General features: G+C 44.4%; 1 protein-coding gene across 2 annotated transcripts in view, besides 3 other annotated features; it reads left to right on the top strand.

The window, feature by feature from the left end:
- Positions 6 to 415: a silencer, noted in NCBI's record as "silent region_14165". NCBI's record gives its function as "represses an Ori minimal core promoter by ATAC-STARR-seq in GM12878 lymphoblastoid cells {active_cell/tissue: GM12878}" and the evidence as "EXISTENCE:reporter gene assay evidence [ECO:0000049][PMID:35858748]".
- GPD1L (glycerol-3-phosphate dehydrogenase 1 like) overlaps positions 273 to 27880 on the top strand; it is a 62090-nt gene continuing 34482 nt past the window's right edge. For both annotated transcript variants that reach the window (NM_015141.4, XM_006713068.3), the window contains exons 1-2: positions 273 to 411; positions 21729 to 21906. In NM_015141.4, the coding sequence (NP_055956.1) occupies positions 365 to 411; positions 21729 to 21906 (225 nt within the window). In that variant the 5' untranslated portion in view covers positions 273 to 364. The remainder of the gene's footprint in view (positions 412 to 21728; positions 21907 to 27880) is intronic.
- Positions 536 to 675: a silencer, noted in NCBI's record as "silent region_14166". NCBI's record gives its function as "represses an Ori minimal core promoter by ATAC-STARR-seq in GM12878 lymphoblastoid cells {active_cell/tissue: GM12878}" and the evidence as "EXISTENCE:reporter gene assay evidence [ECO:0000049][PMID:35858748]".
- Positions 23693 to 23862: an enhancer, noted in NCBI's record as "experimental_69674 CRE fragment used in MPRA reporter constructs". NCBI's record gives its function as "activates a minimal promoter by MPRAs in K562 erythroleukemia cells, with activity observed for both the introgressed and non-introgressed 3:32171617 variant alleles {active_cell/tissue: K562}" and the evidence as "EXISTENCE:reporter gene assay evidence [ECO:0000049][PMID:34662402]".

The raw sequence follows: 27880 nt of genomic DNA on the forward strand, positions 1-27880 counted from the left end.
CGCGAGTCGCTGCTCAGTGGCCTGGGCCTGCATGTGGCGCGGCGGGAGCTGCTGCCTAGGGCCGCGCAGCGACGGGGGGTGAGGACTACATGTCCCGACGTGCCTCGGGCAGGGCGGGGCGGTGCCGGAGCCGGGCCTGGAGGCCGGCCGGGGCCAGGCGTGCGCAGTGGTTCTTGGGAGTGGCGAAGCGGGTCCTGCCCCGCTGTCAGCTGCGGCCCCCGGCGCCGGGCGGGGGTGGCCGCGACCATTGGCGGAGAGGCGAAAGGGGCGGGGCCGCCGCCAGCCGCTGCGGGCAAGGCTGAACAGGCGGAGGTGGGCAGCCGGCCAGGGAAGCACGGTCCAGGCGGCTACATTCGGCCCGGCCATGGCAGCGGCGCCCCTGAAAGTGTGCATCGTGGGCTCGGGGAACTGGTGAGCGGCGGCGGGCTGGAGGCCGGGGCTCCGCTTCCAGGAAGCGCCTCTCCCGGGCGGTGAGGGCTGCGCGCCCCATGCTGCGGCGTGGGCACCGGGCACTGCGCGCAGGGAGGCGGGGTGGGCGACCTCGTTGCTGGGCTGGGCACCGTGCGCCCGAGGAGGCCGCACCGGGGCACTCGCTCGGGAGGCGCTGGGCTCGCGTGCGTGCGGGGGACAGCGCGGAGAGAGGGCACCCCGAGCACGCGGGCACCTGTCTGCGCCCCCGTTACTGAGCGCACAGAAGCCACCTGCTTGCCACGCCTGGGTGTTTTGCACAATATCCTAAGGGCGTATTCCGTTCTCCACGGCGGATCTCCTGGGTCAAGGACTTGGTGGAGGCTCGAGCATTCTTACTGCAGTTTCGGTGTTGAGGAAACCGAGGCGGAGAGGGCTAAAGGGCTCTTGCTGCCCAGGTCACGGGCGGGGCATGCTCTGCCCTTCAAGGTGCCCGTCTCGCCCCCGCTTCTGATAGGTCCACTATCTTAGGCGCGTCGTATCAGGAAGAAAATCCAAGTTTCAACAGGCCGCTCTCCCTGAGGCGTTGAGAATTCTCCCTTGCCGAGATGTTTGCGAAGCTTTGCGTCTCTTTGGGGCCTTATTTGACTTTAACATTTTATAGAGCACATTAGAAATGTCAGTTCTTCTAGTACCCTTAATCAAACGTACACTGTGGGATTCTCTGGTGTGTTTGGGTGAATGTAGAGGTGGGGGTGTGAAGGGGGAAGGAAGCAAAGTGTAGCATCTGGTGTTTCCAAGCCTTTTTTCATTGCTGTACACTCTGCCACATTGGAGGGACTGGTGTACAATAGTTAAGAGTGATGATGTCCTTTCAGTGCTTCTGTTTACCGGTTTTTCTGTGGCGTGACAGGCATCAGAAGTGCTGCAGCAGCTGGTCCTAGGTAGTTGGTCTTAGTTTTACTCTTTCAAGACTTGGCCCAGAAAGTACTTATTGAAGGAAACCTTACCTGGTTCTTCACTTTTCCATCCCAGCAAGGCCAGTGGCCTCTCTCTGTGTCCCTATTGCTGGCCTGCATCACTGCATTATAAGGAGTTATTTGATTATCTGTCTCCCAACTTTTGAGAATGGCATCTACCCTAGTGCCTGGCATATGCTAAGTCAATACTAAGACTCTGTTGCAGTGGTGCGATCTTGGCTCACTGCAACCTCCACCTCCTGGATTCAAGCGATTCTTGTGCCTCATCCACTTGAGTAGCTGGGATTACAGGTGTGAGCCACCGCTCCCTGCCTAAAAACTAATTTTTAAAACCATAATGATATTTGATTGAATAATACATTCACATTGTTTAACAACCAGGGCTGGGCGCAGTAGCTTATGCCTGTAATCCCAGCACTTTGGGAGGCTGAGGTGGGCCCAGGAGTTTGAGACTAGCCTGGGCAACACGGCAAAACCCCGCCTCTACAAAAAATAAAATATTAGTCGGGCATGGTGGCTCACGCTTGTAATCCCAGCACTTTGGGAGGCTGAGGCAGGGGGATCACGAGGTCAGGAGATTGAGACCACGGTGAAACCCCGTCTCTACTGAAAATACAAAAAATTAGCCAGGTGTGGTGGCAGGCGCCTGTAGTCCCGGCTACTTGGGATGCTAAGGCAGCAGAATCGCCTGAGCCTGGGAGGCAGAGGTTGCAGTGAGCCAAAATCAGATTGCACCATCGTACTCTAGTCTGTGTGAAGGGAGTGAAACCCTGTCTCAAAAGAACAAAACAAAACAAAAAATAAAAAACAAAAACCAAAGAGTACCAAAAACAGTGAAACATCACCCATCCACATTTATCCCCCCTGAGTACCTCCTGGAGGAAAACCAGTGTTATGAATTACTTCTGTCCTTTCTGGAGGAATTCCATGCAAGTGAATGCTTACATATAGTCCTTTCGCCCTCCACGCTGCAAATACTAGGGTATTGCATACTTTTCTGTGAGCTGCATTTTTCAACCAACAACAGAATGTTCTACACAATATTTAATAGAGTTGGTAGCTTGCTGCTGCAAAGCTTAATTTGGACTTTCAGCTTGGCTTTGCCAGTTGTTTTTTTTTATTACTATTTTTTTAGACGGAGTCTCCCTCTGTCGCCCAGGCTGGAGTGCAGTGGCGCGATCTCTGCTCACTGCAAGCTCCGCTTCCTGGGTTCATGCCATTCTCCTGCCTCAGCCTCCTGAGTAGCTGGGACTACAGGCATCCGCCACCATGCCTGGCTAATTTTTTGTATTCTTAGTAGAGACGGGGTTTCACCATGTTAGCCAGGATGGTCTCAATCTCCTGACCTCATGATCCGCCTGCCTCTTCCTCCCAAAGTGCTGGGATTACAGGCATGAACCACCGTACCCGGCCGGCTTTGCCAGTTTTAATGTCAAGCTCACTTGAGTGCAGTGTCAGCTCCCCTGTTGGCCATGCCACTTGAAAGGCACCCATTTAGCACATGTTTTTTTAACATTAGTTTTTTAGTCTGTACAATTCCACAGATGACAGCCCCTTTTCCTAATTTGCAAGATGCAGGACAAGTAGCACAGCTCTGCCATGCTGGAACTGGGCCTGGAGCAAGAGTAGTGAAGTGAGCCTCCTGCCCCCTCTGCTGGGATTTGGCTGCCTGCCCGTGGCTTCTTCATTCTGGTGTACTTGACTGTTTCCTTGGCCCACTCCAGCCCAGGGAAATGGAGTAGAACTTGGCCAGTGATACTGAAGCAGAGCAATTGAGAAATGTGCTGATGGTTTGGGCTGGCTGCCTGGCTTCATTAATTATGGGATTAGACGGGAACAATTCTTGGCTTCTGTGCCACTGCCTTGGGTACAGAGTTACTCCAGTCCTAGAGAGAGGATCACAACCTCCCCAGAGGGATTCAGGAACTCAGAAACTGAAAACAACATGGAGAAGCCCCAGAGGAGTGTTCAGCTCTAGTCAGTAGACATTTGAGTGTTGCCCGGTGAAGAGACTGTGGTCTGACCAGGGATGCAGACACAGCTGGACACAGTCCCGGTCCTTAAACAACTTACCTTCAGGTCTGAGATCAGTGAGGACATGGAAGATAAGACCGAAGGAATTGCCAAGTGGAATGGAGTAACTGCTCTGTTACACTTTAAATCGTGTTTCTTTTTTTGTTTGTTTGTTTTTGTTTTTCTTGAGACGGAGTCTCGCTCTGTCGCCCAGGCTAGAGTGCAGTGGCGCAATCTCAGCTCACCGCAAGCTTCGCCTCGCGGGTTCACGCCATTCTCCTGCCTCAGCCTCCCAGGTAGCTGGGACTACAGGCACCCGCCACCACGCCCAGCTAATTTTTTGTGTTTTTTAGTAGAGACGAGGTTTCACTGTGTTAGCTAGGATGGTCTCAATCTCCTGACGTCGTGATCTGCCTGCCTCGGCCTCCCAAAGTGCTGGGATTACAGGCGTAAGCCACTGCGCCCGGCCTAAATCGTGTTTCTTAAATTGTGGTCCCAAGACCACTTGTGTCAGAATTACCACTGAAACTAGACTTGCTTAATCATATCCCCTGAGAATGAGATTTTTTTTTCTGAAGGAACTTTAGCCTTTTGCCAATTTTAATACAGATCACCAAGAGATAGACCTACCCTTCCAGATCTGGTTCTTACCTCAGGAATGTCAAGTTGCTTAAGCAATGTTTATACTTGGAACTTTAGGGCAGCTTAGCCTGTTTGTGTAAATAAAGGTGTTTGTCACATTTGAGAACTCTCACATGGAGTGCCTCTCCCAAGTCAATTGTCATCAGTTGCAATACAGTTATCAGAATATTGAATCTAGCTGGCTTGCCAGGGAGCTTCAGCCAGGAAGGTCCTGGGCAGGAAAGTAGACGTGTTGTATAACATGCCCTTGTCCTGTCCTTTGGTGAAGCTCATTTTCTCTACATAGATCAGAGAGAGGAGGCTAGAGGAGGGGCCGTCATGCATCCAGCTGAGCCCTGCTGTGTTGCCCACTGCCGCAGGTGCAGGGAGGGACTTCCTAACCTGCATGACTTTTCCTGACCCTGTAAATTTGATTTGGAAAAACAACAAAAGCTTCTCAGGTTCTTTCAAAGATGAAACAGTTTCTTTTTTCTTTTTTTGTTTTTGTTGTTGTTGAGACAGAGTCAGCTCTGTTACCCAGGCTAGAGTGCAATGGCACCATCTTGGCTCACTGCAACCTCCATCTGCTGGGTTCTAGCGATTCTCATGCCTCCGCCTTCTGAGTAGCTGGGATTACAGGTGGGCACCACCATGCCCGGCTAAGTTTTATATTTTTAGTACAGACAGGGTTTTGCCGTGTTGGCCAGGTTGGTCTTGAACTCCTGGCCTCAAATAGTCTGCCCGCCTTGGCCTCCCAAAGTGCTGGGATTATAGGCATCAGCCACAGTGCCTGGCCCAAAGTTTCTTTCTTTTAACCAGCACCTTGGGAAGATCACCCAGACAAAGTGCAAAATAAAGTTCTAGAGTTAAAACCTCAGGGCTGTATTTACAGCCAAACCCTTGTGATAGGAAGCATATGTCCAGAAACACATCCTAAATCTCCTTTGGAGGCAGGGTAGTGCAGTGGTATAAGAAAGAGCTTGGGAATCTGACTGCCTACGTTTCTGCCTGGGTCTCCCACTTGGCAGCTCTGAGGCCTTGGGAAAAGCGCTTCTCTCTAAGAATCATGTATTGATACCTGCTGTCTGGGATTATGGTTAGGATTAAATGAAATGATCTGGGGAGAGTGCATGGTGACTAGCACTCAGTAAATGACAGTTGCTATTAGTATTATTAGTTTCATCATCCTTGATGGACCTGTCATTAAGTCACAAAATGGACTGGTTTGGGGTTTGGCCAAGGGGTAGAGAGGCAGAGGATAGGAGAGAAGACAGGAGATGAGGAGAGAGGCTGATAGACAGCTGGAGGAGTGTCCTTGGGAGTTGCCTATCTCTTGCCCTTGTTTTCACATCACCCCACAGCCTGACATTTTCTCTGATACCGAAGGTCAAGGAGAGCTTTGGCCCACTTTGCTCTGATGACTGAAGCTGGACCTGTGACTCTGTCTTTTTTTTTTTTTTGGTCTGCTGGAACTGGCTGGGTGCAGCATCCTGGCTGTTCATCCGCCCTGGGCACCCTTTTGTCTGTGCTACTCAGTTTCTGTTGTGATTCTCACCACACAGAGAGCTCAGAAACAATTTGAGTGACTATAAGTTAGCTCCTTTATGGTCAGAAATAATCCTTCCCTGAGGACAGGCGCACGGACACACTTCTGCCTTGGAAGTTGGAGTGAGAGTTGATAGGATGGACTGGAGATGAACTGGGAAGAGACTTAGAGTTCCCTTGTGGGCTAAGATGAGAAAGTTTGTACGGCTTTTTAAAAAGTAATATTTAATCACCTGTTTCCTTCATCTCCCCCACCTGTTTGGTATACAAATCATGAGTGGGGCTGGGTGCAGTGGCTCATGCCTATAACCTCAATACTTTGGGAGGCTGAGGTGGAGAATCATTTGAGCCCCACAATTTGAGTCCAGCCTGAGAAACATAGCAAGACCCTGTCTCTAAATCTAAAAAATAAATAAATAAAATATAAATAAAACTCATGGCCGGGCGCAGTGGCTCATGCCTGTAATCCCAACACTTTGGGAGGCTGAGGTAGGTGGACTGGTTGAGCCTAGGAGTTCAAGACCAGCCTAGACAACTTAGTGAGACCCTGTCTGTACAAAAAAAATACAAAAATTAGCTGGGCATGATGGCATGCGCCTGTAGTCCCACCCACTTGGGAGGCTAAGGCAGGAGAATCACTTGAGCCCAGGAGGCAAAGGTTGCAGTGAGCCAAGATGGCACCATTGCACTCCAGCCTGGGTGACAGGAGGGAAACCCTATCTCAAAAAAATATATATAATATAATAATGACTACTATTCTAGGAATGAGTCGAGAGCTCCCAGTGTCTTACCTTAACCTTTCATTTCTTAACCTTTACCTCTTGCTTCATTCTTCCATTCTATCTCCTTCTCTTCCTTAAGAGGCATAAATATAATAATTTATCATTTTCTGTGTGTCATGTACATGATGTTATTTCGTTTAAACATGTGACAGGCCTGTGGGGTACTATTATTATAACCCTATGTTAGATGACATAACTAAGATTTAGAGAAAACTTGCTTAAGTCAACAGTTAGTAGGTGGACTTGAAACCCAGATCCTTTTAACCCCAAAGACCATGTTTCCATAAATTCTTACCATTTTCAGTGTGAAGCATACTTTCACATGAGGATAAATATCATTTTCATAAAAATGTTGAGTATCCTCCCAACAAAATCCAATTTTATATTCTCCTTCTGAGAAATAAAATGGAAGCAAGGCCTTAAAAATCATCTCATTCAGTTTCCCACCAATGTAGTCATCCCTTCTCCTATAGATATGACAGATGATTATAGTTTACTATTTTCAAGGCAATTGATCTTAAAATTAATTAGAGGATTAATTGTTGAAAAAATCTTATCTTTTTTTTTCTTTGTATGTGAAGAAAAATCTTAGGAAAATCTAAGCTAAAAATCTATCACCTCTAACTTTTACCTGTTAATCCCAGAGCAACACTTAGGTGAGCCTACTCTTCTCTAAGTCATGTCCCTTTGGACAGAAAAGTCACATATCTCCTAAATCTTGTCTCTGGCAGGCCAAGTAGCATCCCCAAGTCTCTCAGTGGTTGCAGGTGGACAGTAGTTTCTGGGATCCTCACCATCTGTGTCACCATTCTCCTTTCCCTTTCCTCCTCCCCAACTGGGTGATGTCAGGAACTAAGCTCACTGTGCCAGAAGTGTCCTGGGCTCCCATAAGGTTATACTGGTGACACTTTGTAGTTATTCTGCTTTGAGGCTCAGTCTCTTCCACAATTGGAAGAGGAGAACTGAATCAGTCATCTCTCACTGCCTAACAGTCTACCCCCAAACTTAGTGGCTTCAGACAGCAATCATTTATTAGCTCATGATTCTGGGGTTTAACAATGTGGGCTGACTAACCTGGCAGATTTTCTGCTGATCTAGCCTAGGCTCACTCATATGGCTGTGGTTGGCTGGTGACTTGGTTGGACACTCTCACCCACCTTTTTTTTGTTGTTATTTTTTGGGAGTCTCACTCTGTCACCCAGGCTGGAGTACAGTGGCATGATCACAATGCATTGCAGCCTCAACCTCCAAGGCTCAAGCAATCCTCCCACCTTAACCTCCCGAGTAGCTGGGACTAGAGGCACACACCACCATGCCTGGCTAATCTTCAGATTTCATCATAGAGGTGGGGTCTCACTATGTTGCCCAAGCTGATTTCGAACACCTGGGCTCAAGTGATCCTCCTGCCTTGGCCTCCCAAAGTACTGGGATTACAGGCATGGGCCACCACACCCAGCCTGGCTGGGACTCTTGGTCCTAGATGACCTCCTTCATGTCTGGCAGTGGGCAGGCTTCAGCCAGCGTGACAGGGGTGACCAGCCCACATGTCTTTCATCCTTCAGCAGGCTAGCTTAGGCTTCTCCATATGGTGGTTGGGTTCTAACAAGAGTAAGAGAAGGCAAACCTTCATGAACTTAATAGGCACTTTTCAAGCTGTAGCACGAATTGGGCCAGATGCTTTTCTAGTCCATGTGTTCAGAAGAGTCATAGTTTCCTAAATCTGTGGCTTTAAATTTTTTGACTTGCAACTAGCTGACATACAATTTTATATTATGATGGAGGATACTTCATATCCAACCAGAAACAAATGTTTCACAGTAACAAATGTTACTATGGGTGATTAACTGTGATCTCTTCTCCTTATATTTATTTTGTGCCTGCATAACCTTCAGTTTGAGAAACACTGTCCTAGATAGTAAAACAGTTTCTCATTCTTATTGTTTCCGGACTTGGTTCCTTCCGGTGGGTTCTTGGTCTCGCTGACTTCGAGAATGAAGCCGCGGACCCTCACGGTGAGTGTTACAGTTCTTAAAGATGGTGTGTTCAGAGTTTGTTCCTTCAGATGTTCAGATGTGTTCGGAGTTTCTTCCTTCCAGTGGGTTCGTGGTCTCGCTGACTTCAGGAGTGAAGCCACAGACCTTCCCAGTGAGTGTTACAGCTCTTAAAGGTGGCGCGTTCAGAGTTGTTTGTTCCTCCAGGTGGGTTTGTGGTCTCGCTTACTTCAGGAGTGAAGCCGCAGACCTCTGTAGTGAGTGTTACAGCTCATAAAGGTAGTACAGACCCAAAGAGTGAGCAGCAGCAAGATTTATTGTGAAGAGCGAAAGAACAAAGCATCCACGGAGTAGAAGGAGACCTGAGCCGGTTGCCACCACTGGCTGGGGTGGCCAGCTTCTATTCCTTTATTTGGCCCTGCCCACAACCTGCTGATTGGTCCGTTTTACAGAGTGCTGATTGGTCCATTTTACAGAGTGCTGATTGATGCATTTTATAGAGTGCTGATTGGTGCATTTACAATCCTTTAGCTAGACACAGAGTGCTGATTGGTGCATTTACAATCCTTTAGCTAGACACAGAGTGCTGACTGGTGTGTTTTTCCAGAGTACTGATTGGTGCATTTATAATCCTTTAGCTAGACACAGAGTGCTGATTGGTGCATTTTTACAGAGTGCTGATTGGTGCGTTTACAATACTTTAGCTAGGCAGAAAAGTTCTCCAAGTCCCCACTGGACCCAAGAAGTCCAGCTGGCTTCACCTCTCATTATCATTACAGCCAGAGTCACATGTATGTCCTAAGAAAACTATATCCTCATCATTTGGATTTTCTCTACCCGGTTTTTCCAGTGCTGAAGAAAGGAAGTGGTTTGCATGGGTTATAGGCAAAAAAAGAACCAAAGAATTTGTGTTTCTCCAGTCCTGGAGGAGGAGGAGAACTCTAACCTAATAGCCCTAACACTGGCCATCTGGACAGAAATATCCCCAAGCTGAAATTAGTAATTCATGTAGCTACCTCAGCTTGATGGAAATGTCTTCAAGCATCTAAACCCTTTTCGTGTACGTTGAACTTTTTTTTTTTTTTTTTTTTTTTTTTTTTTTTTTTTTTTTTTTTTTTTGAGACGGAGTCTCGCTCTGTTGCACAGGTTGGAGTGCAGTGGCACGATCTTGGCTCACTGCAACCTCCACCTCCCGGGTTCAAGCAATTCTCCTGCCTCAGCCTCCGAGTAGCTGGGACTGCAGGCATGTGCCACCACGCCAGGCTAATTTTTTTGTATTTTTAGTAGAGACGGGGTTTCACCGTGTTAGCCAGGATGGTCTCGATCTCCTGACCTCGTGATGTGCCCGCCTCGGCCTCTCAAAGTGCTGGGTTTACAGATGTGAGCCACCGTGCCCGGCCAGGTTGAACTTTTTAAGTTGGGTTTCTTGAGTGGATCCACCCAGTGAGAGGAAGTGCCTTTTGTAGACTGTACTCCATGGTTCTCCATTGTGTGGGTCGTCTGTTGAAATTCTGCATGTGCAAACACTTTGACAACTGTAATATGTTATATAAATGTTAGAAATGATTATGGATAAATTTGCATTATCACATATAATTAAGTGACCATGCATTCACATTTGTCTTCAACTGTGGTTTATACTTGTCCCAGTCTAATTTCAGAGCATTCTCAAAAGGATCTTGTTTTAAACAACAAATCTTATGGTAACCTGCTTAAAAGGAACTCTTGTGAGTTTGAGTAACATGATTCTGATCCTCACAACCAGGACCAGCAATGATGGCAGATAAATTTCATCTCAGGCACTGACTCTAGTTGATTAATGGTGGCTGCAGAGAGTTTTGTGTTGAGAAGGATTCTGGGGAAGAGAGTAGCTTTGCCAGGAAAGGGTGCTGTGACCTACGATAGCAAGCTGGGGTGGGGATTGGGGTGGGGACTGACAGCATCTAGCTTGGACTGATTTACTACTACCAATTTTACTACTACTCATATTTAAATTTACTACTACTTGGACTAGTTACTTCTACCAAAGGAGAACCCATCTGTGAGGCCTTGACTGACACAGCCAGCTCATGCTCAGCTTTGGCCCACAGCTGCACAAATGTTAGATTCAGTAGTAAGGACTATCCCGGTTAACCCCTTAAGCACTTTATGTGTTATCTGAGTTAATCCTCACAGTATGAGGTACTGTATTGTCATCATCCTTATTTTATAATAAGTCTGAGCTTACAGAAGTTATGTAATGTGTTCTAAGTTACACAGATACTATGCAGTAGAGTGGTTGAAGTTCTCTGCCTTCCTGCCCACTTGAAATGTGGCTATTCGGACTACATTTAAATGTTAACTAATTAAAATGTAAATACTATGTGTAGCTACGTATGCAGTGGAGCTCTACATACTTATTTTCTCCTTGCTTTTTCATGTAACTGTGTCTTGAAGCCCTTTCCATATCTATACATAAAGAACATCTTCATTCTTTTTTATACTTGTATAATATTGCTGGGTATAGGTATGCTTTTGTTTAATCAGTTTCCTCTTGATGGATATTCTAAGAGTTCTGCAGTGAATAGCCTTATACTGAACCATCTGCATATATGTTGGTGGAAGCCAGAACAATACATGAGAAATAATTTAGTCATGATTTCTTATTTCATTTTTCACTTTGTAATAAGCAAGTATGAGGAAGGTGGACAGTAACATTCCAGCTGTAGAGGGCCTAGAAACATAAGCAGAAAAGAGATTTGTTTGTTCTGGATTACCTAGCATGTCTGGTGTAGAGCTCAGGTTTGAAAGCTGAGATTTTGCATTGTTGAGACTCTGGTGGATGTTTGGAAATGGTTTTCAGTAATTCTCATTATCCAGGAATGCGGGCAGGGGTGTATAGTCTTTCAGTTGTTATGTCAACAGAGACCAAGTGCCAGGTGGCTGTTAGAATTTGCACTGCATGGTTCTTTCCATTATCAATAGATGGGCTTGCAGAATGTATTTATCTAAAAAGTTTGTGCTAGGATGTAGAATATGCTTGTTTGAAGCACCATGGACAGTTTGGTTCTCTGCCATCCTTGCTTAAGACTGGTGGTCCTTAAAGGCAATTTGAGACTGTGACTTAGACATTCTCCAGGACCCTGTGTGTTGTTCTCCTGAGTGGGCAGGTAGATTCTCCTGCTACCTATGTCTTTGATTCCGATCTGAATTAATCACTGACCATTCCTCCATTCACTCAGATGAACATTGTTCCCATGGTGTGTGGGGTTGATAGCATGGCTGACCAGGTCATGGATAGCCATTTTTGTACAGGCTGACAGAGGTGTGGTCCATCCCAAACTGCTCCTACTTGGCTGCTCTGAAAACATATTGAAGTAAGTATCAACTAAAATGAGACTTAGGGGGCATCTGTGGATTTCAGTTAAACCTCCATAGCTTCTATTTTCTGGTTGGCTAACAGGCCTTGGGACTTGCTGAAACTTGTCTGCTTTGGATTCGGGGTCTGTTAAAATATCTAAATGGGAATGATTTAAAATCAGAATAAAAAAATAAACTAACACATGCCTGTTTGGGAAAATTTGGAAAAGATAGGCAAGTATGAAGAACACAATAACATTTGCTTGTAAACTTACCAACAAGAAAGGATGTATTCATGCAACAAATGTTTGTTGTGCATCTACTATGTCAACACTTCAATGTGCATGTGAATCTCTTGGGGATTGTGTTACAGAGCAGATTCTGATTCAGCAGGTCTGGGGTAGGGCCTGAGGTTCAGCATTTCTAACACGCTCTCAGGGATATATTCACTGCTGGTCCACGAACTGCACTTTTAATAGGATCTGACCATAGGCTGGGTCTTATGCTTGTTCTTGTGTGTTTTCTTGCCATCCTTTTTAAGTGTGTATGTTTTTTTAATTGTGACAAAATACACATAACATAAAATTTACCACCTTAACCATTTTTAAGCATACGGTTTAGTAGGGTTAAGAATGTTCACATTGTTCGTATTGAAAACAATGAAAATATTGAAAAGAATTAGATCTCCAGAATTCTTTTCATCTTGCAAATCTGAAACTCTATATTCATTAAACGACAGTTCCTCAATCCACTCTTTCCCCAGTCCCTGGAAACCACGCTTCTACTTTCTGTCTCTATGAATTTGACTACTCTAAGTACCTCATATAAGTAGAATTATACATTATTTATCCTTCTGTGTCTGGCTTATTTCAGTTAGCATAATGTCTTCAAGGTTCATCCATGTTGTAACGTATGTCAGAATTTCCTTTTTAAGGCTGGATAATATCCCATTGCATGTGTAGACCACCTTTTGCTTATCCATACATCAGTTGATGGACACTTGGGTTGCTTCCACCTTTTGGCAATTGTGAATAGTGTTGCTATGAACATGGGTGTACAAATACCTCTTTGAGACCCTGCTTTCAATTCTTTGGGGTATATACCCAGAAACAGAATTGCTTGATCATATGTTAGTTCTATTTTTAATTCTTTGAGGGACTGCCATTTGGTTTTCCACAGTGGCTGCAGTATTTTACAAATCTACAAACAGTATACAAGGGTCCTGATTTCTCTGCATCCTTACCAACACTTATTATTTTCTGTGTTTTTGATAGTAGCCATCTAAGTGGATCTGAGGTGGTATTATTTATTAATTGCACACTTGCAATCATATGGTATGTACAATTTTACATCCTTTTTGTTAAATGTAACATTCTATCATAAGCATTTTCCCCTACAGTTTGAATTTTGATAGAAAGCCTTTTCAGTCTCCTTCCTCTTTGAAGTGAAGTTGTTCATATTGATCTTTTTTCCTTTGTGGTTTCTTTCTTTGATTTTAAGCTTAGAAAGCTTCCCTATGTAGAGATCAAATAACATTCGCCAAGTTGAATCTATTTTTAAAATACTTCATTTTTAACATTTGCATCTAATACTCTGGCATTTGGTTGTTCTTTAAAAGCCCTTTGACTGCAAAGAATTACGCAAAATGTTAATAGTGGTTCTCCCTGGGTGGTGAGATTATTCATAATTTTTTTCATGTATTGCTCTTATGAGTGAAAAAGTACATGTTATTTAAACCACAAAGGACCACGCTTTTGCCCATGGAACCAGCCCGGGTCAGCTCTGGAAGAGATGGGGGCATGGAATGTGGAGAATCTAGCTGATGGTGTATTCTTCCTGGACCTCCGCTTCCTCCATAGTAAAAAGAAGGATGGACTGTAGGGTCCTTTCTGGCCTCAAAGAAATTCATCAGGTTTTTAGGCCCAACTTGATAGTGTCAACCTAAAATAATCAAAAAGGTCAGAATCTAGTTTAAAGAGAGTTTAATTAAGTGCGAAGGTTAAAAGTGAGCCTGCCGGCCGGACACAGTGGCTCACAACTGTAATCCCAGCACTTTGGGAGGCCGAGGCAGGCGGATCACAAAGAGATCAAGACCATGCCAGCCAACATGGTGAAACCCTGTCTCTACTAAAAATACAAAATTTAGTTGGGTGTGGTGGCGCGTGCCTGTAGTCCCAGCTACTGGGGAGCCTGAGGCAGGAGAATCGCTTGAACCCAGGAGACGGAGGTTGCAGTGAGTCAAGATCGCACCACTGTACTCCAGCCTGGCGACAGAGTGAGACTCTGTCTCAAAAAAAACAAAAAACAAACAAACAAACAAAAACAAGTGAGCCTGCCCAGAAAGAACAGATTCCAAGAAATTTGACAGTGTTCATATAGAAAAAGTTCAGGGAAATTTAATAGGATTTCAGCATGTTTCTATGTAAGGCTTAATGCATAGTTACAATGATCTGATTAGTCAAGGTGGTCTTTCTGAGTGGTGGGGGAGGTATATTTAACATTCCACACAGCAGATGTAACCATCATTGGGTCTTGGACTGACGCTATCTGGTGCGAGTTAGGTACAGGACAATGAAGGAGGCAGTTAATGTACAACAAAGATCAGCAATTAGAAGCGGGAAGATCTGGTCTCTCCTAGTCATTTACAATGAGGAAGTCAAGAACAGTGGGGAAGAGAGTGAAGCAGAATTGCAAGCATGCAAGTTATACATAACCCAGTCTCCAAGCCCTAACTTCCCCCTTGGCATAATAAATTTAGAGGGTTCTGAAATTTTTATTTTTATTTAAAAACAGGCGTCCATTCCTTGGCTGAAGTAGTACCTCCCCAGCCTAATTAAATACTACACCTTTTTAGAGAGAAAGGGGTGAGAAGGCTGTGGACAGAGTGAATGGCAAAGGGTTAGCTGGGGCTGGAGGCGGGGAGGGCATTGCCAAGCTGGGGGTTAGGACCTCCTGCAGGCGGGTGTCCATCCAGCTGGGACTCAGGGCCGTAGAGCAGAAGGGTTAAAAGGGATACTGTGGGTAAGGTATTTGAAACAGTGCCTGACACCTGGTACGCACCAAATTAGTGCTGTTTTTGCCCACCCCGTCCCTTCCTTGCCTCTTGCCCCTGCCACGCCATTTTCTCCACCTTCCCTCCCTCCTCTTTTTCTCCTCCCTTAGTCTCCCTGATCCTTTCCATTTCTCTTGCACTGTCTCCTCTTCTCTCCTTCCCTTAACCTGTCTCCTCTTCCTTCTTTTCTCTCCTCTCTGGATGTGTTGGTTCTAGATAAAATCTGTGCCTATTGTTGGCCATGCCACCTGCTATGAGTGAGCTTTGCCCCAGGGGCCTTACTGCTGCCGGGAAGGTACCCAGCCTCCTCCCCGGGTAAGGCCCACTAAGCCTCAGAGCTCCGCCCTGGCTAGGCTTTCTTTATATATATATTTCTCTCTATATATATTTCTCTCTATATATATTTCTCTCTATATATATTTCTCTCTATATATATTTCTCTCTATATATATTTCTATGTATATATTTCTATATATATATTTCTATGTATATATTTCTATATATATATTTCTATATATATATTTCTATATATATTTCTATATATATTATATATATTTCTATATATATAATATATATATTTCTATATATATTTCTATGTGTATATTTCTATATATATATTTATATATATATTTCTACATATATTTCTATATATATATTTCTATATATATATTTCTATATATATATATTTCTATATATATATATATTTTTTTTAGGCAGAGTTTTGCTCTTTTGCCGAGGCTGGAGTGCAGTGGTGTGATTTCAGCTCACCGCAACCTCTGCCTCCCAGTTTCAAGTGAGTCTCTGTCCTCAGCCTCCTGAGGAGCTGGGATTACAGGCACGCGCCACCACGCCCGGCTAATTTTTGTATTTTTAGCAGAGACGGTGTTTTACCATGTTGGTCAGGCTGGTCTTGAACTCCTGACCTCGTGATCTGCCCGCCTTGGCCTCCCAAAGTGCTGGGATTACAGGCGTGAGCCACCGTGCGCAGCAGCACAGTTACATTTTTTTCTGTGCTTGTTGAAACAGCGTCAGTCTCTGTTTACCAGTCTCCAAGCTCCATGAGGATGGGGACTTGTCTGCGTTCATTCCCTTGTGTCCCTTGCACCCAGCATGGTGTCTGAAATTAATGGGTGCTCAATAAATATTTTCAATAAAAGACTCTACACTACAATAGGGCAAATATGAATTAGCAGCAAGTGCAGGCTTTGGAGACACTCAGATCTGGGTTTGAATTGCTAACCGTAGATGGACAGCATGACTTAGGCAATTCATTTATGCTCTTTGGGCCTCAATTTCATCATCTGTAAAATGGGGATAATGTGCACCTCTCTTATGGGCTGTAATAAAGATTTTTTAAATGAAATCTTATATGAAGTACCCATCTACTCAAGTTCCTTTTAAATTTTATTTGCATAGCATTACAGGACTTGTGAAATAGTGTATACTTTAAGGCCTAAGACTTAAGACAATTCATTATTTCATGGGTAATAGAATTTTATACATCTATGTAAAGACCCAGGACTGGCCATCAGCAGACCTGAGTCCTCCAAGTTCTGCCTTAGCTAGTTTTTGACCTTTGCTCCGGGGGCCTTCCTTCTGCCTGGAAGGCTCCCCAACCTCCTCCCCAGGTAAGACCCACCTGGAGGCCATACCTGGTCGTAGGATGCAAGGTGAACATGACTGAGTCTCATGCATCTTAATCTGCAAGATGAAGAGTTTGGGTAGGGTTAAACACATCATGCAGGCAGCACCCTTATGGCTTTGGCTCTATCTGCTTCATAGCTATAGTATTATTTGATTGCTATTCTTTCTTTAAAAGTTTATTTTTATTCATTTATTTTTTGGAGACAGGGTTGTGTGCCATTACCCAGGCTGGATTGCGGTGGTATGATCATGGCTTACTGCAGCCTTGACCTCCTGGGCTCAACTGATCCTCTCGCTTCAGCCTCCTGAGTCGCTAGGACTACAGGTGCAGCCGCCATGCCCAGCTAATTTTTTATTTTTTGTAGAGACAGGATCTCAGTATGTTGCCCAAGCTGTCTCAAACTCCTGGGCTCAAGAAATGCTCCCTCCTTAGCCTCCCAGTGTGCTGAGATTCCAGGTGGAAGCCACTGTGTCCAGCCTAAATGTTTACTTTAAAAGACAACTTCATACCACTATAGTAAATATCACAAGTAGAAGGTAACAACAACAAAACCCAGTAGAATGAAAACAAGACAGTGTTATAAAATTCTTGCCAGATATTACTACCTGCCAAGGCTCAGAGTCTGAGGCCTCTTCAGACTTTGTGAAGAAGGGAAATTAGCACATGCTGGAGAGATGGTAACCACTTAATGGCACTGCAGCGAGACATTCTGCACTCGCTCAGGACCATGAGAGTTGAAAAGGGCATGAGTGATTCAGTGTCATTTGGTTTCGTGTGTATCCCTAGTACCCATTTCTCACTTTGGGAAGCACTGGATTCGATCATAGACCTGGAAGGAACCTTAAAGATTACCTGACCCCCCCATCATTTTGTAGATGGATGAGCTGAGCCTGATGTGGAGGTGGCTGCTCGTGCCCTTGACCCAGCCATGTGAAGACCTGTGCCCTCGATTCTCAAAATGCGGGAGTCGAAAGACAGACAGACAGATAGATAGATAGATAGATATGCAGGAGTTGAAAAATAGGCAGGCAGGTAGATAGACAGAGAGATAGATATGCAGGAATTGAAAGATAGATAGATAGATAGATAGATAGATAGATAGATAGATAGATAGATAGACAGACAGATAAGACCCATGCCTGACTATGCTTGTGTAGTGTTACAGAAAGCAGCTGAGACATGGAGAGTGCCAGCAGTGTGGCCGCAGGTCCCCAACTATGACCTGTTCACATGCAAACCACCTTTGTGGACTGTAGTCAGTACTTTTATTTTAAGCTCAGCTCTAATATATCTATGTACATTTTTGGACTGGCCTTCTGTTGGCCAGTCACATTTCTTTCTTTCTTTCTTTCTTTTTTCCCAGACAGAGTCTTCCTCTGTAGCCCAAGCTGGAATACAGTGGCATGATCTCGGCTCACTGCAACCTCCGCCTCCTGAGTTCAAGCGATTCTCCTGCCTCAGCCTCTTGAGTAGCTGGGACTACAGGCGCACGCCACCATGCTCAGCTAATTTTTTGTATTTTTAGTAGAGACAGGGTTTCACCATGTTGGCCAGGATGGTCTCAATCTCCTGACCTTGTGATCCACCCGCCTCGGCCTCCCAAAGTGCTGGGATTACAGGCGTGAGCCACCACCCCCGGCCCATTTCTTTAGAACAGGGTGTGCCACTTATAAGTAGACTCTGTTCCCTTCAAAACCCTCTGGCTCCTCCAAAACACTTTCCTTGCTCTATTTCATCCACAAGAAAAATGAAACTGCTCTTTCACATTGGTCAGAAGAGGTAACACTTGGGACAAATGCATCTAGTACCATTCCAGAGGCACAAAGGAATTTTGGGTGCGGGTTATACTTTTTGATTTTTTATAAACCACACAGATAAAAGTGGACAACAGAGAAAATATTGAGTTCAACATGGAGATTGGGCTGGGCGCAGTGGCTCATGCCTGTAATCCTAACACCTTGGGAGGCCAAGGTGGGAGGATCGTTTGAGCCCAGGAGTTCAAGACTAGCCTGGGCAACATAGAGAGATTTCATCTCTACAAAAACTTTTTAAAAAATTAGCTGGGCGTGGTGGCACACATGTAGTCCAGCTACTCGAGGGGCCAGGGATGATTCCCTTGAGCCTGGGAGGTCAAGGCTGCAGTGAGCCATGATTGCACCACTGCACTCCAGCCTGGAGGACAGAGCAAGACATTGTCTCAAACAAACAAACAGAGAGAGTATGCCAAAGGGGGTTAAAACAAAATAAAATATAGTGTTTTAAGTCCTGGTCCTCCTCCTCCATGCCCTGCCTCCCCGCCACCCTTGCCAAAAAAATTACTGTATAAATTATATATAGAGAACAAAACTAGGCCTTAAGGTACTAGGATCATTTTGTTCCTCTCCATATGTGAATTTAATTCCACAGTCCTTCCTTCAGCACTGAACACTACCGCAGCCCCCAATCCCTCCCACCACATTGCCAATCCCTGGGTGGCAAATCCAACAGCTTGGCCAACAATTCACTTGGAGTGGCCTCTAGTTGTGTCAAAGATGCTGTATTTATGCATCTATCAGCTTTTGCTGCAACACAGCCCACTCTCCCCTAACTCAGCTGCTTAAAATAACAAGCATTTATGATTGCTTATGAGTTATGGATCAGCTGGTCAGGCTCACTCATGTGTCTGCAGTTAGCTGAGTATTTGGGTGGAAAGCACTGCTGTGTCTGCTCTTCCCAGCCCTGATTTGCGAAGCTTTTTTTGCTTCTCAGCGGGGTTTGGTCTTCCTGAGCACCATCCTTATGTCTTCTCCCTGCACCCTGGGTTGGGCTGTCCATTATGGTTCTCTTAATAGAAGGTTGAGCCTGGGAGACTTGTCATGGATCAACATGTATTGCAGTTGGTTCCTTTGTATTGAAGTCCACTGCAGTTTACCCTTCTAACCACATCTGCTTCCACTTTCTTCCACCTCTTACCACACACAGCATCATGAATGCCTTTTAGCTATTTATCTCTCTGAGCGGGTGGTAAGCTTTTGAGAGCAAATAACACATTGCCTTTCCCCTGCTGTATTACCACCATCTGGCCCAATGCATTACGCATAGTAGGTGCTCAGTAAATATTTGATGACTGAGATAAATGAGTGAATGACTGAAATTATTGATGAAACCAGGAATGAGGTAGAATGAGGTCTTGATGACCCCCCAAGAGTAAAATAACTGGAATTCCCCTTATTAATTTTTTATCCTGTCACTTTAAGCCCCATTGAATCCCAAAGGATGTACAGACATGGTCTGGAGGGCTTAGTTCTTAATGGTACCAATGTTTGTTTAAATTTTCCTAACTCTAGGCAGGTGTGGTGGCATGTGCCTGTAGTCCCAGCCACTCAGGAGGCTGAGTTGGAAGGATCACCTGAGCCCAGGAGGTCGAGGCTGCAGTGAATTGTGACTGTGCCACTGCACTCCAGCCTGGGTGACAGAGTGAGATCCTGTATCAATAAATTAAATAAATAAATAAATACATAAATAAATAAATATTCCCAACTCATTGCAGCAGATACTACAGGTTTGCTTCTGGTTGCAAATGTTTGGCTTCCCCAAGAGGCAGCTGTAAAGGGGAAAGCAAGTGTATTCCAGTAAGATCATGGGGAGGGATTCCTGGTTCTGATTTATTTTTCCACTTGGTTTACTAGACTTAGATTCCTGGTGTCTCATAGTCCCTCGTCAGTTGATGCTCAGTCCCCCAGAACCATACTTGTTCTCTATGACCTTGTGAAAGTTACTTGATGCCAGGGAACACTGTGAACCACAGCCTTTATCTTCCTGTGAGTACGTGAGCAGCTGTTTCCAAGATTAGAATAAAGGTGGTAGTGATGGTGGGAGATTCCTGGCCTCCCTTCTACAAAGTGTCAGTAGGAGAATTAGATTAATGGGTATTTTTCTAATAACCTGTCCTGCTGGCATAGAATAAGAATTTCACAGGTACAGCTGCATAGCCTTGATATCTACAGCTATTCTTTTGTGAGGGAGGAGGGCATCAGAATTCTAATCATTGTGCAGAGCAGTGGCTCTCAGCCCTGGCTGCACATCAAGTCATCAGGGAGCTTTAAAAAGTACAGATGCCTGATCCCACCACAGAAGTGCCAGTTCCGTTGGCCTGGGGTGTGGTCTGGGACTCAGGATTTTTAAATCTCCCGGGTAACTCTGTGTGCAGCCAAAGTTGAGAACCACTGGTTCAGTTTATCCCTTCTATGTCAGGAAAGGGACAATATTTATAATCTGTTAGAATTACTTGAAATTTTATGGTTGTTAAAGCATACAGGTTTATATGCTGGGATGTATTATATTTGGGTTAGAATAACAGATTCATCCAGGGATGAAAATAAATGTCTCCAACATGTTCTGCATCCACTTGGCCGCCCCCGCCTTTTGTTGTCACCCCCTACTCCATCTCATCAATTTGTCTTGAGAATAATTGTGAGAAAAAGTAGCAACTGCCCTAACACATGAATTTGCAAGATGCTCTTTACTGCGTTCTCTCATTTGCTCCTCACGCCAGGAAGGTCATCTAAGAAACAAACTGTTTCTCAGTTGAAAGTCCAGAGGGGAAAGCTGACAGGCTCAGCTAGGATCAAGTGCCCACCATGGCCCCATCAGCAGCTTCTGTGAGATGGACACAGGTGCCTGGTCCAACCTCCTCTGCTGCGGCAACCACGTGCAGACCTGCACTGCTGTCGGGAGGACAGATGTTAACAAATCAGGGTCATTCTTGTCCCCTGTAGGAAAGCCTGTGGGAGACTGAGCCGTCACTAGAACATGTTTGCTAAATAGAGATGCAGAGAAAAGGGAGCTTGGGGGCCAGAGGCCGGCTTGGTTGCAGGGCGGAGGGAGTGCAAAGTACTCAACAACTGGGCCCTGCGCTCTCCCTTTGCTCCTCTTCTGGAATCCAGTCAGGTTCTTGTCTTTCCTTTGTGATTCTGCTTTGCACCTGTTGCAGTTCATCAAGACACAGTTTATCTTACCACAGGTACATCTCAATATCCTTTCAAGACCTTCTAGGGTCATTTTCATGCTTTGGGGTGGATTTCTCTTCTGCCTGTGACGTTGTCTTCCAAGATAGGTTGATTCTTACTAGTTTCAAGGGGTGGTGCATTTTGACCTTAAGCCAAATTCTGGTGCTTTCCCAGTCACAGGCGGTGGTATTCCATGTGAAAACAACTAAGTTTCAAATGGCTTGGGGCTGATACACGTCACATCTTGAGTAGGCTCAGTGTTTGAATCAGAATCAAAACACAAGTCTTCTGAATTTTAATCAAACGCTTTTTCTCTCCCGCCCAAGTGAGTTTATGTTTTTCTTTTCCACGATTTCTTTTGTAGGGGTTCAGCTGTTGCAAAAATAATTGGTAATAATGTCAAGAAACTTCAGAAATTTGCCTCCACAGTCAAGATGTGGGTCTTTGAAGAAACAGTGAATGGCAGAAAACTGACAGACATCATAAATAATGACCATGAAAATGTAAAATATCTTCCTGGACACAAGCTGCCAGAAAATGTGGTAAGACTTTGGGGTGAAATGTACATTGGTTCATTCTGCAAGTTGTGCTTGGCTGAGCAGCACTTGGGTTTTGGAACTGGGAAAGCTGCTTCCCTTTTCCCCAGTTCCTTTCCACTACCAATTGGTTGGTTGGTTTTGGTCTTCCTGACTCTGAAAATGGGTTTCCTATTATGTTGCTAAGGATGCCTTAACAAAGTGCCAGACTGGGTACCTTAAACAACAGAAATTTATCTTTTATAATTCTAGAGGTTTTGAGCATGAGATCAGGGTGTTGATAGGGTTAATTTCTTCTGAGGCCTCTCTCCTTGGCTTATAGATAGCATCTTCTGTATTTTCACATGGTCTTCCCTCTAATCCTGTCTCTGTCATAATCTCCTCTTATAAAGATAGCAGTCATATTGGATAAAGACCCACCCCAATGACTTAAGTTAATTACCTCTTTTAAGACACTGTTTCCAGATACAGTCACATTCTGAGGTACAGCCCATAACAGGTTTCCTCCTTGGCATTCAAAGTGCCAGCCACCTCTGGAACTAACAAACTTGCCTTAGGCTGCTCCTGCTCCCCAAGTAGCTCCTGCTGTACCCTAAGTGCATGAGATCAGCTTGCTAGGACAGCTAATACAATGGTCTGTAATTAAAGTCAGGGTCAAGGCCTAAATTACAGAAGGAGATAGAAGAAAATGGGAAAATGTAAGACTGACAGTTTAAATTCAAGCTTATTAAGTCTGGGAGAGAAAAATACAGGTTATTGCCTGACCTCCTTCTATTGACTTGCAGGGGAAGAAAGAAATGAGCTTGGGGAGTGAAAAGGGTGTACCCTGCTGCTTGTCTGAGTGGAATTTATGAACTTCTTCTGTTGTCAGATTCACCCCTTTGTGGCTTTCTATCATAATCTCTTTGAAAAACAGACAGTTGTGGCTGTCTGATTCCTATGGTTAACCCAAGAAGCTCATCTCCTTTGTTAACGAAATACCCTTTACTGCATATATTCACTCACCAAACCTTATGAGCATGCACTGTGCATGCAAAGCACCGTGTTGGGTGCTGGGGACAGAAAGAGGAATAAGACAGTGTTGCTTTCCTCAAGGAACTGAGCGGGGGAGACCGATCTCTAAATCAATAAATGTGGGGAAGTTTTAGTTACAGTGTTCGTTAGTGTCAAGCACTGTGCTAAGCAATACATTTAGTCTCATTTAATCCTCTCAATAACCCTCTTAGGCTGATACTACTGGTTTTCCTATTAGGGTGATTATTTTGATTATATAGTGGAGGAAACCAAGACTCAAAGAGGCTAATGAACTTGTCCAGGGTCACACAGCTGAGGGCTACGGTTCAGATTGATTCCTGGTGGACGCATCCCTGAGCATGCCGAATCTGTTGCCTTCTAGACAGTGATGACTTTCTGCTCTGGACTTGGGTGAGCCAGCATTTCCCTACAGTTATTCTTGGTGTAGTTGGTGGGGGAAGAAGAACCTTTAGAGTTGTGAGCTTAGAAGTTAAGTTGTCCAAATATCTGCTGGAGAGAATAAAAGAGGTAGCTCTTCCCCCTGCAATGGAAGGCCTGTGGGGTCATCTCTAATCCATTCTTGGGGCAGATCATTCTTTTGAGCTTCACTTTTCTCATTTTTATCAGAATTGGTTGCCCCTTCCCTTTGGTAAACTACATGCTTCATTGTTACATTCCTCCCACCCTGCCTGGCGCCAGTCCCTTGTGTACCTGTCTGTCTACCTCCACGTGCCCTCAGTGTGTGACCTTGCTTTCTGGTTCTTCATTCACCCACAGTCCCTAGCACAGTGCTTTTCCTACAGTGGATATTTGAGGAATGTTGGGGGAAGTGAATCTGCTGAGTGGTTCTGTGAAGCTGGAGCCTGTGCTGCGAACAGGGAGAGTGGGAGGGAAGGAATCGACATAGAGGAGTTGAGAGAGCCTGCCCCCCACTTGACTGACTCCACCACCCACCCCTGGTCACTGGGTGTGGACAGAGGCAGGAGAATTCACTCCCAGAACCCTGTTGTTGTCTGATAGATCTCTCAAACCTATTCTTCCTGTTTAAGTGAAATTTTTGACCAATATGTCCCCAGTCCCTCACCCTCCAGCCTCAGGTAGCCACCTAAAAGTACAGTTTTTAATCATTGTTTTTCTTTCCAATTCAAGCAGGAGAGGTTTGTTGCATTTCCGTCAACACAAGCTCACTGTTTATGCTGTCATTTGATGTGCTGACTTCAGACTGAGCCTTTTCTGTGTGAGACCCTCAAACTGCTGCCAACGTGACCCTTCCCCAGGTCCACACTCATCATGTGGCCCCTCCCACATAGGAGCCTTCTGTTACAGTGACTTCACCATGTCATTGCCTGCTCACTAAAAGCTGAGCCCGTCTGGATTTGCGATTTCCCTTTAGATCCGAATGAAAAGAATGCTCATTATTTTCTGAAGGCCGGTTGCGGTGGCTCACACCTGTAATCCCAGCACTTTGGGACCGAGCGCAGTGGCTCATGCCTGTAATCCCAGCACTTTGGGAGGCTGAGGGGGGCGGATCACTTGAGGTCAGGAGCTCGAGACCACCCTGGCCAACATGGCAAAACCTCATCTCTACTAAAAAAAGAAAAATTAGCCGGGTGTAGTGGTGCACACCTGTAATCCCGGCTATACTCGGGAGGCTGAGGCAGGAGAATTGCCTGAACCCAGGAGGCGGAAGTTGCAGTGAGACGAGATTGCCCCGCTGCACTCCAGCCTGGGCAACAGAGCAAGACTCCATCTAAAAAAAAAATAGAATGCTCCGTTTAAAAAAAAAAAGAATGCTCATTATTTTCTGTAATTGCAAAATGGTTGATCCTGTTTTCTAGCTCTATTTCCAGAGCCTGTGTTTGGAGCTCATCAAGGTAGAGGATTCTTTTGCTTCCCTGTTCCAGCTTCAGCCAGTGACACCAGGATTTAGATTCCAGCACCCCCATGAAATATAGTTGCCGTTGCCTCTCATCTCCTGCCTCCTTTTTAAAAAACTGCTTCACTGAGATATAATCCACAGACCATACAATTCAGTGGCTTTTTTCGTATATTTACATAGCTGTGCAGCCATCACTGCCATCAATTTTAACACATTTTCATCACCTTGAAAAGAAACTTGTACCCTTTCATAGTCACCTCCTGTTTTCCCCAGTTGTCCCACAGCCCTAGGTGACTACTAATCTACTTTCTATCTCTATAGATTTACCTGTTCTCCATATTTCATGTAAATTGCGTCTTACAATATGCGGTCTTCTGTGACTGGCTTCTTTCACTTTGCATAATGCTGTGAAGCTCCATCCATGTTGTAGCATGTATCAATACTTCGTTCCTTTTTATGGCTGAATACGATCCTGTTGTATGGATGTCCCACATTTTGTTTACCCATTCATTGGTTGATGGTCATTTGAGCTGTTTCCACTCTTTGGGTATTATGAATAATACCTTTATGTACAATGTGAACCTTTATATACAATGTTTTGTATGAACATATGTTTTCATTTCTTTTGTGTGTATACCTAGGAGTAGAGTTAACTTTTTGAGGAACTGCCAGACTGTTTTACAAAGTGGCTGTACCATTTTACATTCCTATCAACAGTGTGTGAATGTTCCAGTTTCTTCACATTCTCACCAGTGCTTGCTGTTATCTGACTTTTTAATCCTAGCGAGTATCTCATTCATGGTTTTGATTTTCATTTGCCTGATGGCTAACCATGTTGAGCATCTTGTGCTTATTGTCACTTGTATATCTTTGGAGAAATGTGTATTCAAATCCTTTGTCCATTTAAAAAATGGATTGTCTTTTTATTATTGAGTTATACAAATTCTTTATATATTCTAGATACAGGTCCCCTTTCTCCACAAGTATTTTCTCCTGTTCTGTGGGTTTTCTTTTTACTTGCTTGATGGTATCCTTTGAAGCACAAAAGTTTTTAATTATGAAGTCCAATGTTTACCTTTTTACTCTGCTGTGAACTCTTTGAGTATAGTTTCTTGCATAGGTCTTTATTCACTAATGTCTCCTCAGCACCTGGAATAGTGCCTGGCATTATTTGTGGTTTGAATAAATGCCAAGGATAGTGGAAGTGGTGAGGAAGAACAAACCAGGATGAAGAGTTTTGTTTCAGTGCTTTTTAGGTGGTATCACATGGGAAATAAGTTTAGGGCAAGACTTAAAAAAAAATTAATCATTTACATTTGGATACTAGGGTTGGGGTAATACCTATTAATTTTTGCTGAAAGCCTTCTGAAAATTAAAATATCAGTTCAGTGCGAAGCCTCAGTGTTACTCCTTTCCTCCCTGGGTTTAACTCTTTGATTTCATTAGAGGAGTAGTTTTCCCTGGTGATCTTCAAATTTTAGTGTTCATCAGATCACTGGGAGAGCTTCCCAGGGATATGTGGGCCCACTCCTATAGTTTCTGATTCAGTAGGTTTCAGGTGCGGTCCCTGAATGTGCATTTCTCACAAGTTCCCAGGTAATGGGGATGCTGTTGGTTCAGGAGCCATGCTTTGGGAACCATGGGGGTACATAATAAATTGATATTATTGGTGTTGTACTGGGGAATCCAGGCGATGGATAGCTATTTTTCCAGAAGTAGCCTTACTTACCAGCAGTGGCATGTTTACATAAGAATCATCAGATAAGGTCCTCTGTCTGAGGGTCATGTTTCTGCATGTAGAGCCAAGTATGTGAATTTCACCTGAGATCTTGGCTGCAAGTGAGATGAAGAGACAGAGGAAAATTACGCTATTTTTGAGCCTCTACTATGTCCCAAGTATGACACTGCTATGTGTTTTACTCCTGGTATTGTCTTGAATCTGAGTACACACATCCCCCAGATAATGTAGGTGAGTTGCCATGGTGTCCGGTTAGCTGACTGGCATTAGAGCCCGGCCACGATGCTCCGTGCAGCCACGGCAGCTGGACCGTTGTTAAACCACACCATTCTCATTAGGAACCAGAATTGTTTCAGCATGTAGATTCATACAGACTTGAAGTAGACATAACTAGTGGCCCTAAGAGATTAGATAAAAATGAGAACAGCCTTGGTATCTTTTATTTGGCTTATCCTTGTTTTATCTGTCATTACTATGATGTTGCTACAAAAAGGTTTGTAGTAAGATTCATGGATTTTAGGGGGAAAAGTCTTCATTTGAATAACAGGAAAATTCTTATAATACTATATTAAAAAGATATAAAATATTACTTTAATTCTATAAATACAATTTTAGACATTGCTGTAGGCTCGAAAAGACCTTGGAAGGAGTGTACCAAAATATTGATAGTGATTATTTCTGGGAACAGCAGGGAGAAGCTGTTCTTATTTTCCTACTTAGAGATTTTTTCTTCAGATTTGATCCAGCGAGCCTATTTATAGTCATGAATGAATGGAGAAAGCATTTTAGTCCTAATTGGTTTTAAAGACCATAAAATAGCATCTTTGGAGGGTGAGGAGATCAGTCTGTGATGATGAAAGTGAGGTCTTTTTCTTGCCCACTCTGATGGCTGCAGATAAGATGTTGCTAACAGGTAAAAGCTCATTGAGCACACACTGTGGACAGTGATGGTGGATCCAGGAAGTACGAAAGAACCTTCAGACTTGTCCACACAGACTTCACCAGCTTTGTTTCCAATGGTTTTTATTTATTATTAGGTTTTTATTAACTTAGACTAAGAGCACTGGGCTCCTGAAAGTCTGGGCATTAAGCAAACCAGCCCTGATGCCTTCGTTCTGGGTTGTTTGTCCTACTTGCCATTGAAAGGCAAGACCTGTTGTTCTGAGTTTTGCTTCCCAGCATATTTCAGAATCTGGAACGATGGACACCTTCAGAGTTTTGGCAGGAGGCTCACAAAATCAGTCACCATTTCCAAAGCAGCTCCTGATTATTTTCAGAGCAGAAAATCGGGTAGGGGCTTAGCAAAAGGTTTTATTCTGAAAGATGAGATTCACATGATCTCATTAGCT

This window comes from Homo sapiens, chromosome 3 (assembly GCF_000001405.40).
Source record: "Homo sapiens chromosome 3, GRCh38.p14 Primary Assembly".
NCBI classification, from domain to species: domain Eukaryota; kingdom Metazoa; phylum Chordata; class Mammalia; order Primates; family Hominidae; genus Homo; species Homo sapiens.